The sequence below is a fragment of the Homo sapiens genome, chromosome 6 (genome assembly GCF_000001405.40).
Source record: "Homo sapiens chromosome 6, GRCh38.p14 Primary Assembly".
Lineage (NCBI taxonomy): Eukaryota > Metazoa > Chordata > Mammalia > Primates > Hominidae > Homo > Homo sapiens.
Window position 1 is genome coordinate 25,604,803 of NC_000006.12, and position 16,722 is coordinate 25,621,524.

The 16,722-nt window shown below is 39.3% G+C and overlaps 1 protein-coding gene across 19 annotated transcripts in view; it reads left to right on the plus strand.

Moving 5' to 3' along the window:
- CARMIL1 (capping protein regulator and myosin 1 linker 1) overlaps positions 1–15,728 on the plus strand; it is a 341,157-nt gene extending 325,429 nt beyond the window's left edge. For 5 of the 19 annotated variants that reach the window (XM_017011008.2, XM_017011011.2, XM_017011010.2 and 2 more), the window contains 5 exons: positions 10–91; positions 1,259–1,471; positions 5,248–5,379; positions 7,935–8,084; positions 14,645–15,728. In XM_017011008.2, coding sequence (XP_016866497.1) covers positions 10–91; positions 1,259–1,471; positions 5,248–5,379; positions 7,935–8,084; positions 14,645–14,781 — 714 coding nt within the window. In that variant the 3' untranslated portion in view covers positions 14,782–15,728. The remainder of the gene's footprint in view (positions 1–9; positions 92–1,258; positions 1,472–5,247; positions 5,380–7,934; positions 8,085–14,644) is intronic. The other 14 variants (XM_017011015.2, XM_017011016.2, NM_017640.6 and 11 more) reach the window with 5 other exon arrangements.
- The last annotated feature ends 994 nt before the right edge of the window (positions 15,729–16,722 follow it).

Sequence of the window (16,722 nt, forward strand, 5' to 3'; positions counted from 1 at the left end):
ATTTTTTAGAAGCTTGGGAATGATGCCGTATCCCAGGATTCTTCCAGCCCAGCTTTGAGCGGCGTAGAACGGTCGGATGGAGGTGGGGCAGGTAAGTCAGGCCATTGCCATCACCCCCTTAGGAAAAGCGCTTACCTTCTGATTGCAGAGTCACATGATTGACAGAAGAAAAATTTAAACAGGGAGGCAAGAACTGATCTCTTTGTTGTGTGTTCTCAGCTATCATCTGAAAGACCATATCCCTTCACCTGCCTTATCTTCCCCTGGGGCACATCCTGCCCCACTGTAGCATTGTGCCTGGACAGGGCACTTTTTGATTTCCCAAAGGGAGGAAATTCTGACTGTTTTTTCATTGCAAACTCCTCAGCTTTGAGCATTTTGGAAAAGTTGGGGGTGGGGGCAGCATACAGGATCATGGCTGATGTATTTAAGAATAAGCCATGCATGACATATGGAAGATGGGTGGCTGTCTTGTTTGGTATGAACAATATGCTTCGCTTGCAGCTTGAATATGCATGAAATCCAATATCCCTTGTCCCTCTGACTTCTTAGGTATAATAAAATAAGAAAATACCTTAGATGAAAACTAGAGAGTAATGCGTTAACTGTGTGATAGAATCCTCACTTTGCTATTTGAGAGTCTTATGCATAGCTACAGTATCTTGGTGCAGTAAGAGTTGGATGATAAATCACATTTTATGGGCTTATTTTTGCCAGTTGTCTTGTTAAATTAAGGCAGCAGTATGGATGGAGGTGGGGGATGAGATGACATTTCTGGAGCTGTTCTCACTAAACATGAGATTGCAGCCGTCAGCATCACCCTCCTCACTCAGAACCTGTAGCCAGAGCCCTAACTGCTTATTGTCCAGAACCAAGGCACTTACATTCGGTTATACCTGTACCTTGTGCCAGATCTGAGAAAGACCCAAATATTTCAAGTGCATGAAGAACCACTGTTTTCCTTGTATGTGATTACGGCACTGTACATTATTAAATATAAAAGCTTGTCATCGCTGGAATAGTCAGGGGTGATCAGAAAACAACCAAAAAGTTTATTGCTTTTCTACAAAGAACGTCACTCTTCCTCCAGCATGTTTTGATTTTAAAACATGCTAGAACAGCATATTCTTAAAATACTCTTAAAACATCCGTGATGAGAAACGATGGCAAATGATTACAGCAGTTTGTACCAGACTTCTAGCTTCAAGTTATTGGCTTCTTTGACCTTTGATTTTTAAAGTGGCCTTTTTCATCTTAGTGCCTAAACTGCACCCAGGTCTTCCAGAGAACCGCTTTGGTTTGGGAACACCAGAAAAGAATACCAAAGCAGAACCCAAAGCGGAAGCAGGCTCCAGGTCTCGGAGCTCATCCAGCACACCTACGAGCCCGAAGCCCCTCCTGCAGTCCCCCAAACCCAGTCTGGCAGCACGGCCCGTCATCCCGCAGAAACCAAGAACCGCCTCACGGCCTGGTAAGAGTTTTGCAGTTAGGGAGTTGCATTGTGACCAGGTGGCTTCCCAGAGCCAGCTGGATCAGACTCTGCAGGTGGTTTCAGGGGCAGCTGGTGAGCGAGGTACAGCGGCTTCTGCAGGAGGGGATCACAAGAAACCTATGCAAAGCTGTGAAAGTGATGAGAGCTGACGGATTCTTTTATTTAATGCAGAGGCCCACCATGTGTGAGAGTTGGGGACTCTGAGACTGTCCTTGCTTTCAGGGGTACAGGTTAGTTTGTAGGCAAGACAGGGAAATCAGTCTTTTGTCATGTTGACCCATCTGTAGTGCTCGGCTTGGCTTTCTAATATCTGTCTCCAGGGCGTTCAGACATTTTGAAAAGCAGCAGTTTAAGGAGGAAGGCTACAAATGGGGAAAGCACAAGCTCTGTGGTGTTTATGCCATATTCTATGATATAACAAGGGTTTAGAACAAGACTTGGCAAACAATGGGCCTGTTTTTGTGAATAGTTTTAGTGGACACAGCCATACTATTTTTGCGTTGGTGTCACCTGTGGCTGTGGCTGCGCTACAGTGGCAGAGTGGTATACTTGCAACAGGGCCATATGGTCTGCAAAGTGTAAAATATTTACTCTTGGGCCCTTTACAAAAAAGTTTGCTATTAGTTTAGAAAATCTAATGATAGAAGAAACTTAAAAATATTAGAAATGGATTGGTCTTCACCTTATTCTCTCCTGCACAAAATAAGGCCAGGTGTGGTAGTGCACACCTGTAGTCCCTGCTACTTGGGAGGCTGAGGTGGGAGGATAACTTGAGCCTAGGAATTTAGGCTGTGATCACACTGTGACCACACCACTGCACTCCAGCCTGAGTGACAAGACCCCGTCACCCTATCTCAAAAAAACCAACCAAACAAACAAAAAAACACACAAAAAAACACCACACACACACACACATTAGGTTTTTTTTTTTTAATTTAACTTACCATTATAAGAATTTTCAAACATATACAAAAGTAGGATAGGTAATATATGAAAGTTACATCAATTCTTCACCTCTTCCCCTTGTTCTCCCACAAAAATTAGTCAAACAGGGATAAAAATAGATAGTCAGATCATCATCATGGCTAATCTTTGAGCACTTAGCTGTGTCCTTGGCACTATAGTAAGTGCTTTTTGATGAACTCTCAATATCCTCGTCACTGCTCCATTTTACGGATGAGGAATATGAGGCACAGAGATACTGAGTTTGCCAAGTCACGCAGCTGGTGTGTCTGTGTAGCCGCCAGATGTTCTGACTCCACCAACTGTCGTGGTAACTGTTTCTATTGACCTCTCCCCCATGGACATGTATATTGTAAAGTAGGATGCACAGCTCATCCTAATAATTTATCAATGTGCAGATGGTTTGGGTAGAATGAGCAAAAAGGTAGAATCCTGTGTGTCCAAACTTCTTCCACTTGTGGTTCTTTCCCATGTTCCGTCACATATTTTTTTTCATTTCCCGAGTGGCCAGCTTGGACAGTCCCTGGTCTTCATAGCCCATTGGTCCCTTGAGAAAACCAGTGAACTGTTTCCAAAGAGAAGCCACAAAGAAAGTGGTGTACTGGCTTTACCTCAAGGAACTAAGCCTTGAAACAAACCCCTTAGGACTTCCTAATTCTACTCAAACTTTTTCCCAAACCAAAGTTTATGATGGGGAACACAAAAAATTTCTTGGTCCATACACAATGTTTTCATGTAGAAGGAGTGGAGAGAATGGAGGCAAAGAAAATAGAAAAAATTTTTAATAGAAAGCAAAGCAAATAAGTACTCAAAAGGAGCCTTGCTCCTAACATTGTCATCAGCTGGGTGTGTCTCTACTCTGCAATAAAGAAATAGTTCTTATAGAATGAATCTAGTTTGTAGAGTAACCTAGTTTGTAGAGGACAGTAGGCCCCTCTTATCCAAGGTTTTGCTTTTTACAGTCTCAGTTATTCATGGTGCAGATATTTTGAGAGAGAGAAAAAGAGAGAGAGACCACATTCAGATAACTTTTATTATAGTATATTGTTATAATTATTCTATTATTGGGTTTTAGTGTTAATCCCTTACTGTGCCTAATTTATACATTAAGCTTTATTATAGGTGTGTGTGTGTAGGAAAAAACACAGCTTATGTAGGGTTCAGTACTATCCCGGTTTCAGGCATCCACTGGAGGTCTTGGATTGTATCCCATGTGGATAAAGGGGGACCACTCCCCAGTTTCTAATGCTGAATATAAAACTAGCTGAATTCCCAATATTCTGTTGCAAGAAGTTTTATTTTGTTTATTTACTAAATGTGTTATTTCATAGCACTTAGTATATCAAGAATTATGTTAATAAACCTATGTTTTTATAGAGCTTGGGAATTCAGCAGGCATTTTCAAATACACCATCTCATTTCCTCTCCGCCACAGCTCTGACAGATGGTGAAGGTGGATAGTGTTATCTTCACATGTCTTATCACATCCCTGCTTATTTTGGTTAAGCAAGTAGGCGACTGGAAGTTTAAGACTGAAGAGAACGTGGCTGTAGATTGTCTTCTACGTGCACAGACACTCACACGCCAACTTAAGAACCACCTTGCTGATAACAGCAAAGGAAGAAGAATGATCCAGTAGTCAAGGGTGTCCAGTCTTTTGGCTTCCCTGGGCCACAGTGGAAGAAGAATTGTCTTGGGACATACACAAAATATGCTGACACTAACAATAGCTGATTACTTTTTTTTTTAAAGCAAAACAATCTTGTAATGTTTTAAGAAAGTTTACAAGTTTTTGTTGGGCTGCATTCAAATCCATCCTGGGCTGCATGCTTGTCCAATCCTGTGAGCCATGGGTTGGACAAGCTTGTGGTAGATTCTTTCAATTAGGGTGAAACAGCCCTGGTTTTTGAATTAAGAGACTAGAATTGGCCAGGCGCGGTGGCTCACACCTGTAATCCCAACACTTTGGGAGGCTGAGGCGGGTGGATCACGAGGTCAGGAGATCGAGACCATCCTGGCTAACACAGTGAAACCCCGTCTCTACTAAAAATACAAAAAATTAGCCTGGCATGGTGGCACGTGCCTGTAATCCCAGCTACTTGGGAGGCTGAGGCAGGAGAATCGCTTAGACCCAGGAGGCGGAGGTTGCAGTGAGCCGGGATCGCACCACTGCACTCCAGCCTGGGCAACAGAGCAAGACTCCATCTCAAAAAAAAAAAAAAGAGAGACTAGAATTCTAGTCCTAGCTATTTAGTCATCTTTTTCGTTTTCAATCTCTTCATTTGTCCAGTGCCCAAAGTCTTTTCTGGTTCTAAAAGACCATGATTCCAAATTATTGTTAGTGACCTACATATATGCATGCATGCATGCATGCATACACATACACACATATGTATAGTGACTATTGTACTGGGTTTGACAACAGGTAAAGGCAGTGTCTTATAAATATTACATATTTTATGAAAACCAAACAGCCTTTGTGTTTAAGTCAGAAGGAACATATGGTTCACATACAGTCTAATTTTCAAATAGCTGTGCATTGAAATTCTTGATCTACAGGATAGATTCATATTTGTGCAGATATTAACTTTTTATGAGTATTCATTGTTTTTCCCTTTTGTTTGTGGATGTTACTTCACTGAGCAAAAACACAAAACTAATTTTTGGCCAGAAAAATTCTATGATGCTTTATTTTTTTAAATGACTTATTTTTATATATAGATTTACCAGGCTTTATGTTCTTGGAATCCAGTTTGTGGAACAGTTTGATTCACGTGTTTGTGTCTCCTTAGATGACATTCCAGACTCTCCATCTAGCCCGAAAGTTGCCCTTCTTCCACCTGTCCTGAAAAAAGTTCCTTCAGACAAAGAGAGAGATGGCCAGAGTAGCCCCCAGCCCAGCCCCAGGACATTTTCACAGGAAGGTAAGGATTGTAAGGATTTCTTTTCTCTGGGTTAGCTCTCCCCAAGGAGGGACATTTCAAAATAAAGGAACTCATCCTGGACTTTACTAATATCTTAGAGTTTGTTAAAGTCAACATTGCTTGGGTTAAATTTTTGGAAATGGAGTAGTTTCTTAGTTCAGAAACTTGATTCAGCATGATTGATGACATTGGATCTTAATGACATATGAAAAAAGCAGCTGAGACACAAAGGTCTAACTTATTTGCAAGAATAATTTCTAGATGCTTCTGAACTGACTTCCAGCATGTTAGGAGCTCCTTAAACATGATTTTATGACGTATTTGGGGCTACCTATAGATTTCTGAGTCCTATTATTTTCAATGAAATCTTTTCCTAGTCGTGGCAAATCAGTACTGCTATAGTTCAGGAGCAGCACCCCCGGGCCTGAGCCACCTTGCAGCTCACTGTGCTCGCTCAGTCACAAGGTCAGATGTTCCTTACTCTCAGAAGTGTGGTGCAGACATGGACATTCTCAGGGCGACCCTGCACCAGTTTGCTCCTTCTAATTTGCTGAGGTAGAAGCACAGCAAGCTAATCCTGTGACGAGAATGCTTTCTTCCCAAATCAGACTGAGCTGTTACCAATTATTATCAAAGGTGAGGCATGGTTGTGGCTTCAGCACCCATGCCATTTCTTTTAAATGTGTGATTGACTTTGGGGTTCTGTCCTATGTAATGTATAGTGTAAATGCCATCTCTGAGCCCCACCTATAAGGAAATTCTGGAGCCACACAAGTCGTCTACACCCAGAAGGCTCTCGTTGTGGTTTGGAGTTGCTGTGTTTTATTTTAGATTTTTTTAATGCTTTAGAACCTTTGATCTCTCTGTCTCTGTTCTCTTCCTACATTGGCCTATTTTCTTTTATTGATAATAGTATTGGGTTGAAGTTAATAGAAAGTGTTACTGAGTACTGTCTTTGTGGCTTGGAAATCTAATAAAAACAATAACACTGCCTGCTTTCTTATCTCCATCCTACAGATTTATTTGTTGGGTAGAAGCTTCACTCACTTATTTGCTATAAATAAAAGATGGTTGGGTTGAGACCAAAGCTGCTAAACCACTTCTGTCAAATAGAGAAACTAAAGCTTTTGAAAAGTAGCTGGTATCTATAGTCATTTTACATGAGGTAAATAAATACAGGGTTCAGCATTATAACTGAAGCCTTTGGAAGACTTGGTGTAAAAGGAAGGACCTTTGGTGATGCCATCTCAGAGAGACTTGAGCCTGCAGGTATTCTCTGACAGTCCAGTTCTCACCACCAAGTGCGTCTCCCATTCCTACCCTAATTTTCCATCCTTTCTGCAACTGCTGACTTTACATCTTTACTTTTAAGGAAGCGTTGAAAATGCCTGAAAGAGTTCAGTTGGAGAGAAAAAGAAAAGTGAGGAAGGGATGGTAGTGCTAAGTAGGAATGTTCATCTATCTTGTCTGAAGCAATTGAAATATTGAAGGATTTACAAAAATAGAAGAAAAAAGATCAGAAGGTTGAATACAAAAATCATTGTTTTAACATTTCTGGAAAGTGGTGTTTTCTAGATGCCTATAGATTATCAAAACAAGGCCTAGAGTAACCCACCAGCCTCACAAGTACAAATATAGATCATGGAGCCTCTCTGGTTAGCAAAGTCGGGGAGATACTGGATACCACTGCAGGCTCTTAGCTGCCGTGAAAAAGTTGAATGTTCTTTCCCCTGGAAGTTAGAAATAGAATGTGTTCCTCCTTAAATGTTTCAGAGCTTTAGGGGTATATGTTTGATTCCCTTCCTCATCCTTCTCCCTCCCCAAGTAGCAAATCTTAGGAATGGCTCACGCTCCCTTCTTTCCAGTCAGACGGTAGGGATGGCTGAGCTGTGGAGACCATGACTTTCCCATCTGGGATCCAGAATAAGTTAATCATAGACATCATCCTGGTGTTATCACTTGGTATTGAAATTGGACTGAAAATGTACATGAAGTCTGGGAACAGTCTGTAAATGTCTGAGGTGGTAAGATTTTGACTTTATCAGCTTGTCCGCTAAGGTTGCCCAGAAATGGCAGCCACTTGTGAGTTCTATCTTTTTCTTTATAAACTGTCCATATTGTGCTCATTCTGTTTTCTTATCTATTATTCATGCTGATTACTTCATTTCCCTGTTCTTTGCCTCCCTTTGGACTAGCATGCCCAACTAATTTCTGAAACAGGTAAATTGCTATGATTCTTCTGGATTATTCCATAGTGAATGTGATTTTCATTAATCCATCGTGGAATCAAAATGGTAATACTGGAGCCTTTTTGTTAATACTTTTTTGGGGCAGACTCGCAGCTCACCTCATTTTGCACGACATTTCCATAATGTTGGCTGTTGAATTCTGTAGATAATGATGCATATCTGCCCAGGACCAACACTGTAGGTTCCTTGAATCCTAAGTGGGGTGGGTAAGCTGATATTTAATTTTTAATATTTTTAAATATTAATGTCAACACATTGATGTATGTGCTAATAATATAAAGGGTAAAATAAATCCCTTTTCCTCAGTAGTGCAAAGAGGAGATTATTACAAAAGACATTCAGATCATGACAGTGGCAAGCCTTCCAGTAGAGGGAAAAGATCTTCAAAACTGTACTCCACCATTGCAGAAGAGGAAGTGAATGCAATTGGGCACAGGAAGTCACAGCCAACAAATGGTTAGAGCCTTCGATTATCATCCCTCACTGACCCGAAGCTTATGAACTGGCACTAACAAAAACAAACTGTAATTGAGTGAATTCTATCGTGGGACTGGGTCAGGGATTAGTCATACAAGAGAGGTTTTTGGTTTTGTTTTTTTCTAAATCTCAACAGGATGGTCCTTTTATTTGGGGCAAAAAAAATATTGACTTAAAAATCTAAAATTAGAAATTCTTATTAGGAAGATCAAGTTACTTTGGTGACTTGTCCTTTTAAATTTTTGTGATCATGCAAGTTTATTTTTATAATTGGGGTTAGGCTTCCTATTCTCTTCCTTTATATCTTTACTCTCCTGTTAGGTTTCAACTGTGGTTGGATCAGAGATTCTTAGAATGACAGAGTTTATATCCTTAGAGAATATTGGCCTAATATCTTACACTCTTTCAGGAAAGGATCAATAAAAAGTCACTGACTCAATGCAGACGTTGGATCATGCACATGATCTTTCACCCTTTATCATTTTATCACCCTTTAGTAAGAAAGAAAAAGTACCATTTAACTTGTCAACCATCAGGAACAATTTATTCCACTTTTTAGGAGTTGCTCTCTGACTTCTGTCTTTCATTTGGCCCTGTAGTAAATTCTGTAATGTTCTGTTCAGGTGAGAACAATCCCAAGAGACAAAAAGAAGACAGATTTCAAATCAGCTCTGCCCTCCAATGGGAAATTGAAGGACAAGTATTGCTGACTCAGAGAAAAAAATGTCTTTTTTGTGCCTAAAGTACTCATCTCTTCCCTGGTTAATATATTAACTTCTTATAAACATGACTTCAAAAATCCGTTAAAGGAAATCTTAGTATCTGTAAGGAATATAACATATTCTGATATGTGAGATTTCTTTAAAGGACTTCTGCTCTTGGAATGAGGCTCTTTTCTTCCTGTTAAACCATATCAGGGGTTAATAGATGCATGTATTTAGGCTCCCAGGGATCAGGTGTGGCCCAGCATTCAGGCTGTAACACCATGCCCTTCACTGCCTCCCAAGAAAGCATTTCAGAATACAAGTTAATGGGAGTGACCTTATTATAGGGATACCTTCTCTTTATTGCAAAGGGATAAGCCATTCTTGAATTTTCACACTTTACTATTGATAATAAACTTCTTATGATACACTTCACAGCTTAACAGCCCAATGAGTTATGATACCTGAAGTGGGAACGGTTCTCTTTGAGAATTTTCTTTGATATAGGTTTTAAAACAAAAAAACATCTACCAACTGCCTGCCAGGGACAACGTTTGGAGCCTGCCTTCTCAGCCAGTGCCATGGGCTCAGCCACATGTGCTCACTTGCCTGGGGTTCCGGCGTATACTAGCTAGGTGGCAGGGTGGGTTAAAGACACCTCTCAGAGCATAAAGCAAAGTCTACAGGACAAGTAAGGTTAAAACATTGTTTGGGCTGGGTAGCTCCTGCCCTAGAGAAAGCCAATTAAGTTGACCCTTTACTTTTATAGAGTATCCTATGTAGTGGATTTGTTTATAGACACATAGTTACAATAACTCCTCTCTACAAGAAAGTTTCTCTCATATGGCCAAGAAAATCTCTATCTTCAGTCCTAGAAAAGTTACATAAATGAACACCTAAGACATTTATTTTCTGACAAGTTATTTTTGAGAATTTGTTAGGCCAGAATCTCTGTCTCTATATTGCCCCTTTTGTTAAGCATACCTAAGGTTGCATAGACGTTTCTGGTTTCTGGAGCTTTACATTTGAACTATTGTTTTCATTGACTTATATCACTTGATTATTAACAAAGCATCATTAATGCAATGTTCCTTCTTCAAGAGGCCACTAAAAACACTTTATACAACACAAAAAGAGACGCTCCCTGCTACCTGCCGCCCAGTGCCTATTGATCATCCAATGAGGCTTTGCGTTAGAGTAAAAAGAGGATAAACACAGAGATAACCCAAATTATAGAAAAGCAAGAAGAGATTCTATATCTGTCTCAGATTTGTTCATGACCTCTTTAGCTTAAAATTCTCATTGTGAGGAGCTGGTCAAATTTTGATGGAACTAAATAGGACCATCTTGTATTTACTTTTCTGCTTTGATTTCTTGAAATAATGACAGGCATTAAGAAGTAATTTTTACAGGATCTTCAATTAAAGTGATTTTATGCATAATATTTTAATTTTGTTTTGTTAGTGCCGATTCCTAGCACTTGACTGTCTTCACCTTTGAGAACTGCGTAGCAGTCTGCTTTCTGAATAGTTCCTGGTTAAAAAAATAACATTTAGCAGATCAATTCTATTAAATAATTGCTTATACTTTCTTTTAAGTCTTTTAAGAGCAGCTTTGTTTACACTAAAACAGCCTTATTTTCCTAAAGTATGTATTCATGAAACAAACAGAGGCTATTGTTCTCAAATATTGTTCTCAAAGCATGCTGCATATTTTTATCACGAATATTATGTTTTGTGTGGCTACTATATTGATTTGACAGGTAAAATGCTTAATTTCTTTTACTAGAAATATTTGTAAGCACATTTTTTTCATTTCATATTATTTCCTCTCTACATTTAATTATAAGTTGTGATGTTCTTGTAAGAGTGTATCCTATTTTCTTGAAGAAAATAGTTGATTTTGGCTTTGAATGCGTTGTAATGGCTCCTGTTTGTACAGGGCATCTAAGATTCCTTTTATATATCACTTGCCTCTTCCATAATCCAAGCTACAGCCAATAAATACTTGGCTGTGACTTGCAGTCTGTAAGCCAGTGCTCTGCTCTACTTTTTCCACCAGACTCAAGTTCTGCTTCCCCTAAGTGAGTTCTTGAAGATAAATTTAACAGTTGGCATGTTGGGCTCTTGCTAGAAAGTATAAAAAATCAGGGCCAACTACTGAATACTATTTTAAGGTCATCATAGTGTTTTTCTCCTGGAAAATATGGATGTCAGTGGAGCTTACAATGGAGAAAATACCAAATTTTCATATGGTTCTCTAATTCTGCATTTATATGCATATTTCAGAAGCTTTAAAATTATCACATATATGCAATGTCAAATCATCTTCAAGAATGACAGATATCACGTTCGAGCCTCTCTGTACCAATTATTGCCACTATAGACAGGGTCTGTATATACATGGAGTGTTTGTTTTGAATAAATTACCTGTTCATTTACTTATCTTCTATTAACTTTAGTAGTATGTAAAATAGTGATAAATATGTAAATAGACACACGCATAGAGATGCTCCAGCACTCTTAACAAATACTTGCATTGAAGAAGTGTTTGTGAAACAATTGGATTTTTTTCATCCTGTATAAAAGCAAGCATTAACTCAAGCTGCCTAAGAGGAGGTCTGTCTGAATTTGTAAAAAGTCTAAATCTTATAAATATTTTAAAAATAAATTCTAGCGAGGCACAGTGGTTCACATTTGTAATCCCAGCACTTTGGGAGGCTGAGTCTGGAGGATCACTTGAGGCCAGGAATTTGAGACCAGCCTGGGCAACAAATGAGACTCTGTCTATAGAAAAATAAAAATAAAAAATTAGCTGGGTGTGGTGAGGAGGTGCACCTGTAGTGTCTGCTACTCTGGAAGCTGAGACAGGAGGATCACTTGAGCCCAAGAGTTTGAGGCTACAGTGAGCTATGACTGCGCCACTGAATTCCAGCCTGGACAACAGAGTGAGACTCAGTATCTATAAATGAATAAATGCTTGCATGCATACATACACGCATACATACATACATACATTCTGGAGTTTTAAGTTTCAAACAGACGTAATTCTATTTAGACCATCTTTTAATAGAAGCCTGACTAAACCTACTTCAATATAGTCGTAGTCAACATCTTAATTACATGCAGTCAAATAGATGTTCCCTTAAGGGCTGGAAAACAAACGACAAAGAACGTTCGTCCTACAAAGTTGTTCACATTAGGGATCTGGACTAATAAGGGTGGAGACGAGAAGAACAAATGCTTTGACCTTCAAACTCATCACATTAATTGCATAACTTTAGGTCCTTGATCTCGCTATGCCTTAGTTTTCCTGTTCTTGAATGGTGCTTACCTACTATACTAAGAACATGTCAGCCTGGTACTAGTCTCATTATCACATGCACATTCACAATTGGTAGAGTTTAATCAATGGAGGTGAATATATTTAGAATGAATTTCTAAATAAAGTCGCCACCATAGTGAAATTCTTTGACAGCCCTCTTGAAATAATATATTATTTTTCCTCCTACAACCCCTGAGTCCTGGAGAATTTGGAAGCCTGGTGTCAGTGACTCAAAAGAATCAACATTTAGGTGGAGACTGAAGGACAACCTACTTTTTGCAAGAAGATTTCTATGTTGGATTTCTTTGAATTTTAATCATGCCTGTTGTAATGACCCTGGTCTATAGGGTTATCTCAGTTTTTTATCTGTGACATAAACATTTTTGGTTTCTTGAATTTCTCCATTTTTAGAAAGTACTCTTATGTCGTATCATACAACATGAGTTAGACCCAAGATTGCCAGGAAACAAAAATATTGGGAAGAATGAAAAGCTTGATTATCCTTTAAATCTAAGAATTAGAACAAATATATTTGCTCTGAAGACAAATGAGCAGTGTATTATATTTGTTTCTTCCCTTGAACTTGTAGTGTATTTTTGAGTAATTTAATATAGAGGAACAACCTATTTTGGTTTTAAAACGATGAAAAATATTTTCTAGCAGATACCACAAGAAATGCTGTAGTTTGAGGTTGGGTTTATTGTAAAATGTTTTCAGGATGAAGATAATATAAGTCTTCCCTACTTTCTTTTGTTCTTAGTAATTAAAGGATTCTTTGTCTATTAGTATCAAATTGGTTTTGTGATAAAGAGCAAAATATTTATTGACATTTATTCACCTTTGTTCTCTAAACCTGGCTTACTGACAGTTGTGAAAGGACCAAACAAGTGCATTTAATTTTTTTACCCAACACAAACTTAAAAATAGAAATTGCACTTCAGTTTGGGTGACAGAGCAAGACCCTGTTTCTAAAAAGAAAAAATAATAGAAATCAATGATAATATTTGTTTGTTGCTTTCTTCCCCCAGTTTGAGAATTTGCCTGAATCTGTTGGACAAAAAGAAGTCACAATTTAAGAAATTACGTACTTTTATTATCAGATTTGAAAGGTTTTTTTCCTTTCAGAGTTTTGAGTTATTTCAATTTAATGTCATTAACTAAAGATTTAAATTTTTATTGTCTAAATACCAGCATCTGGCTCTAATACCAGTATTGGCAGGAGAAGTACTCTATTAGGTTTGCATTTTGACTGTTAGGTTTAATGAGCTTTCACTTCCTGAAACACTCTTCAGTGAGTTCAACATTTTAGTAGCCAGCAAGATAAGTTTTTTTTTTTTTTAGCAGAATGCAAAAATCAAGTGATTAGAAGCATCAAATGAATCCTATAGCTTTTAAAGGATTGATGTAGTGTGTTCCTGGTTAGATCATTGGAACTTCCGAGTGATGAGGTAGCTGTACTCTTCCTTCAGGCTGGCACAAAGTGTGTGGGTTTAGTATTCTTAGCTCAAGATCTGTCTATACAATAGACAAGATGAATAGTATTTAATAATCCTTAATAGCTATGCTGGAGTACAGCATCCGAACCTTTTCCCAAGGTATCATAGCAGTGAAGCCATGTTCTAGTTGGAAAGAACATAGGCTTTGGAGAGACAGATCTAGTTTAAATCCTGGTTTCAAGTTTTACAAAACCTGCCTTACAGAAGGTAATTGTGAGGAATAGCGATAATAAAACAGAGAGTGCCTAACACATGACAGAGGCTCTGTTCCAGTAATGATTCTCCTATCGCTGCTTTATAAAGCCTCAGTGGATTCTTCATATTTATGTGTAATCAGAGCAGGCAACAATAATGGTAATTCTTTTACCTGGAGGGTGATTCCAAAATGGTTGAATGTGTCATAGGCAGTATTTAATGCTTTTTCACTAGACTTTAAAGTATTTATTTCCTAGAGGGTGAAACTGAGGTTTTCTGAGTCACAGAAAGGTCTGACAAAGATTCCTGAGGCCTTTGCTGATATCCTGTCCCACAAGCAGGAATGACAAGCCCCAAATCATCTGCAGAAGGCATCGAATGGGACATTTGTCCACCCAGCATCTCCTCAAAGCTCTGTCTGCCCTGTTCTCTGTGCTGTGTGAGGGGGCAGCTATGACTGAGGAGGTCACCTGGAGCAGAACCGCTTCAAAGCCCTCCTCCCTCCTGGCATCTCCCTCCGCTTCCCCACCATCCTTTCCTCGGGGGTCCTAACCTCAGATTCTTGCCCACATCTATGAGAGGTTCACCCTGTCATAGACTGTTTTTGTGTGTGTTTTCTCATGTTGTTTCTGCTTTGTTGGTTTGTTTTACATTTCTGTCTAGAGTCTCTAAACATAATAGCAAGTTTGTTTCTGAGAAAGTTCACCCTGGCCCCCTCCCCTCCCCCAAACCTTCAAGGCTACTGCATCTCAGCCCATTATCAGTCAGGCCACTGGTATTACTTTGTCAGTAAACTGTGCGACTTCCCTTTTTATTTCAGTTTCAAGGAGAAGCTGGGGCCAGCAGGCCCAGGAGTATCAAGAACAAAAGCAACGGTCCTCCAGTAAAGATGGCCATCAAGGCAGCAAATCTAATGACTCCGGGGAAGAAGCAGAAAAAGAGTTTATTTTTGTGTAAAGGTCACCCACGCAGAAGTCTTCCTGTGCAGGGTGCTTTGGTAGCCATCAGAGAGGAACCAAGGGCAACATCTTTTCTTCCCAGGCGTTCTTCTCTGGGTGCTTTATTCTCTTCTTTTTCTTTATTTCGCCCCCACCCCCATCCCCTGCCTTTTTTTTTTTTTTTTTTTTTTTTTTTTGTATAGAAACAGATCCATTTCTTGGTAATCAAAGCACATTTGTTTGGTCTTCCTCCAACCCTTTGCATTTGATTTCTAAACATTCCTTCATATGCCTTTAATGAAAGCCAGCAATTATCCCATGGGCCCTACTTGAATTTATCTGAGGCAGCTACAGATTGCCCTGCAAGATGAGTTTTTGGAGATAAATGAAATAACTGGACACACACTCACACAAGTAACACCACAGCAGACCTCGGAGTACTGCTAAGTGTACCTGTGTCAAATCCGCACAGGACTCAATATAGCAATTTATTCTTGATGTATGCAATTGCACATTGTAATTATATTAACAGAGCACACTAATAATTTGTATAGATTATATATATTAGATCTTGGGTATGGTTTTTACCTTCTCCCATGGGGAACTTCTTCCTTCCTGATGTGGAATTGTACATTTAAAGCTTGGTCGGTGACCTTTGCATACCATCAACGAGCACAGCTAAGAACAGAGTGAGAGAGGCCCATGGCTGATTTTACCATGTGCCCAGATTAATGTATATAGTTGATTGGAATGAGGTTTTATGAATATTCATGTTTTTGAAGGCCTTTAATTTCTGTCTGCATATTAGCTTTTAATGTGTGATTTTAAGAGAGAATACTTTGACACCTGTAAAAATCAAAATACTACTCTTTATAAGACATTTCACAAATATTCACTTACATTACAGGCTGGAAGTATTTTATTCATATGTATATTTATACCAATAAAATGATTTTACAAGTGGAATTTGGGCCTTCTCCAGTTACATTTTTAGTTTGGACTGGCTCAGGGTGGTGAACTTTGGTTTTGTTTCCAAAATCCAAAATAATCAATGTTCTCAGATAAGCAATCTGGGAACTATTACCTTCGAAATAAAGATAACGTAGTAATGCCACTGCCTGTTTTCCCCCTTGGGAAAAATGATAAAATTTACCAGAAGAATATAGAATTAGGAGTTTGATCCACCTCCCATTACCATGCATAAGGGTCATATGAAGGATGCAAGTGTGAGCAAAGAAGTATGATTTGAAGCGTTGCAAGCAGTGGTTATCTATTGGAAAGAAGAATGATAGAAGGTGGGGTCGGCATGACATGACTATTTCCCTCATCATCTTCCACTAGCCCTGTCCCCAGCTCAGGTGTCTGGCATATGCGTAAGTGCCCATAATGTAGACCAGATGGTTTGCTGCCTTTGCGTGACTTCATGAGGGCAGAAAGACAGAAGATTGCTTCCTCCAGCTGTAGCTCTGCTGTCATAAATGCTGATGGGAATAAACACCTCTTATGGCTGTCAAACTGGGAGACGCATCAGAAGACAAAAGATGGGCATGGTACCTCCATGAGCTAACAGGCTATGAGGAAACAGACCCATAACCCAACCCAAAACAATACAGTGTGATGGAACCATACTCATGACAAACAGTGATGTGGAAAGGGGGTTAGGTCTACCTGTGCTGCTCAGGAACCTCAGAGGAGGCAATGTTTGTGCAAGGCCTTGAAGTCACACCTTCATAAGTACAGGAACAGTGTCTGATTCCTAGCTGTACCCCCTGTAAATGTGTGATGTGGCCCATATTCAACCATAGAGAATAGTGGGAAGATACAGAAAGTGCTCACAGAGCAATCAAGTTCACATTCACTTAGAATGCTATGTGGTAAAAGGCACACGTGCTGCTGGTTAGGACCTCTCTCTGGGTTTCAGCATAAGAACTATCCTCAAAGAGGCAGTCGAGAGAAGCCC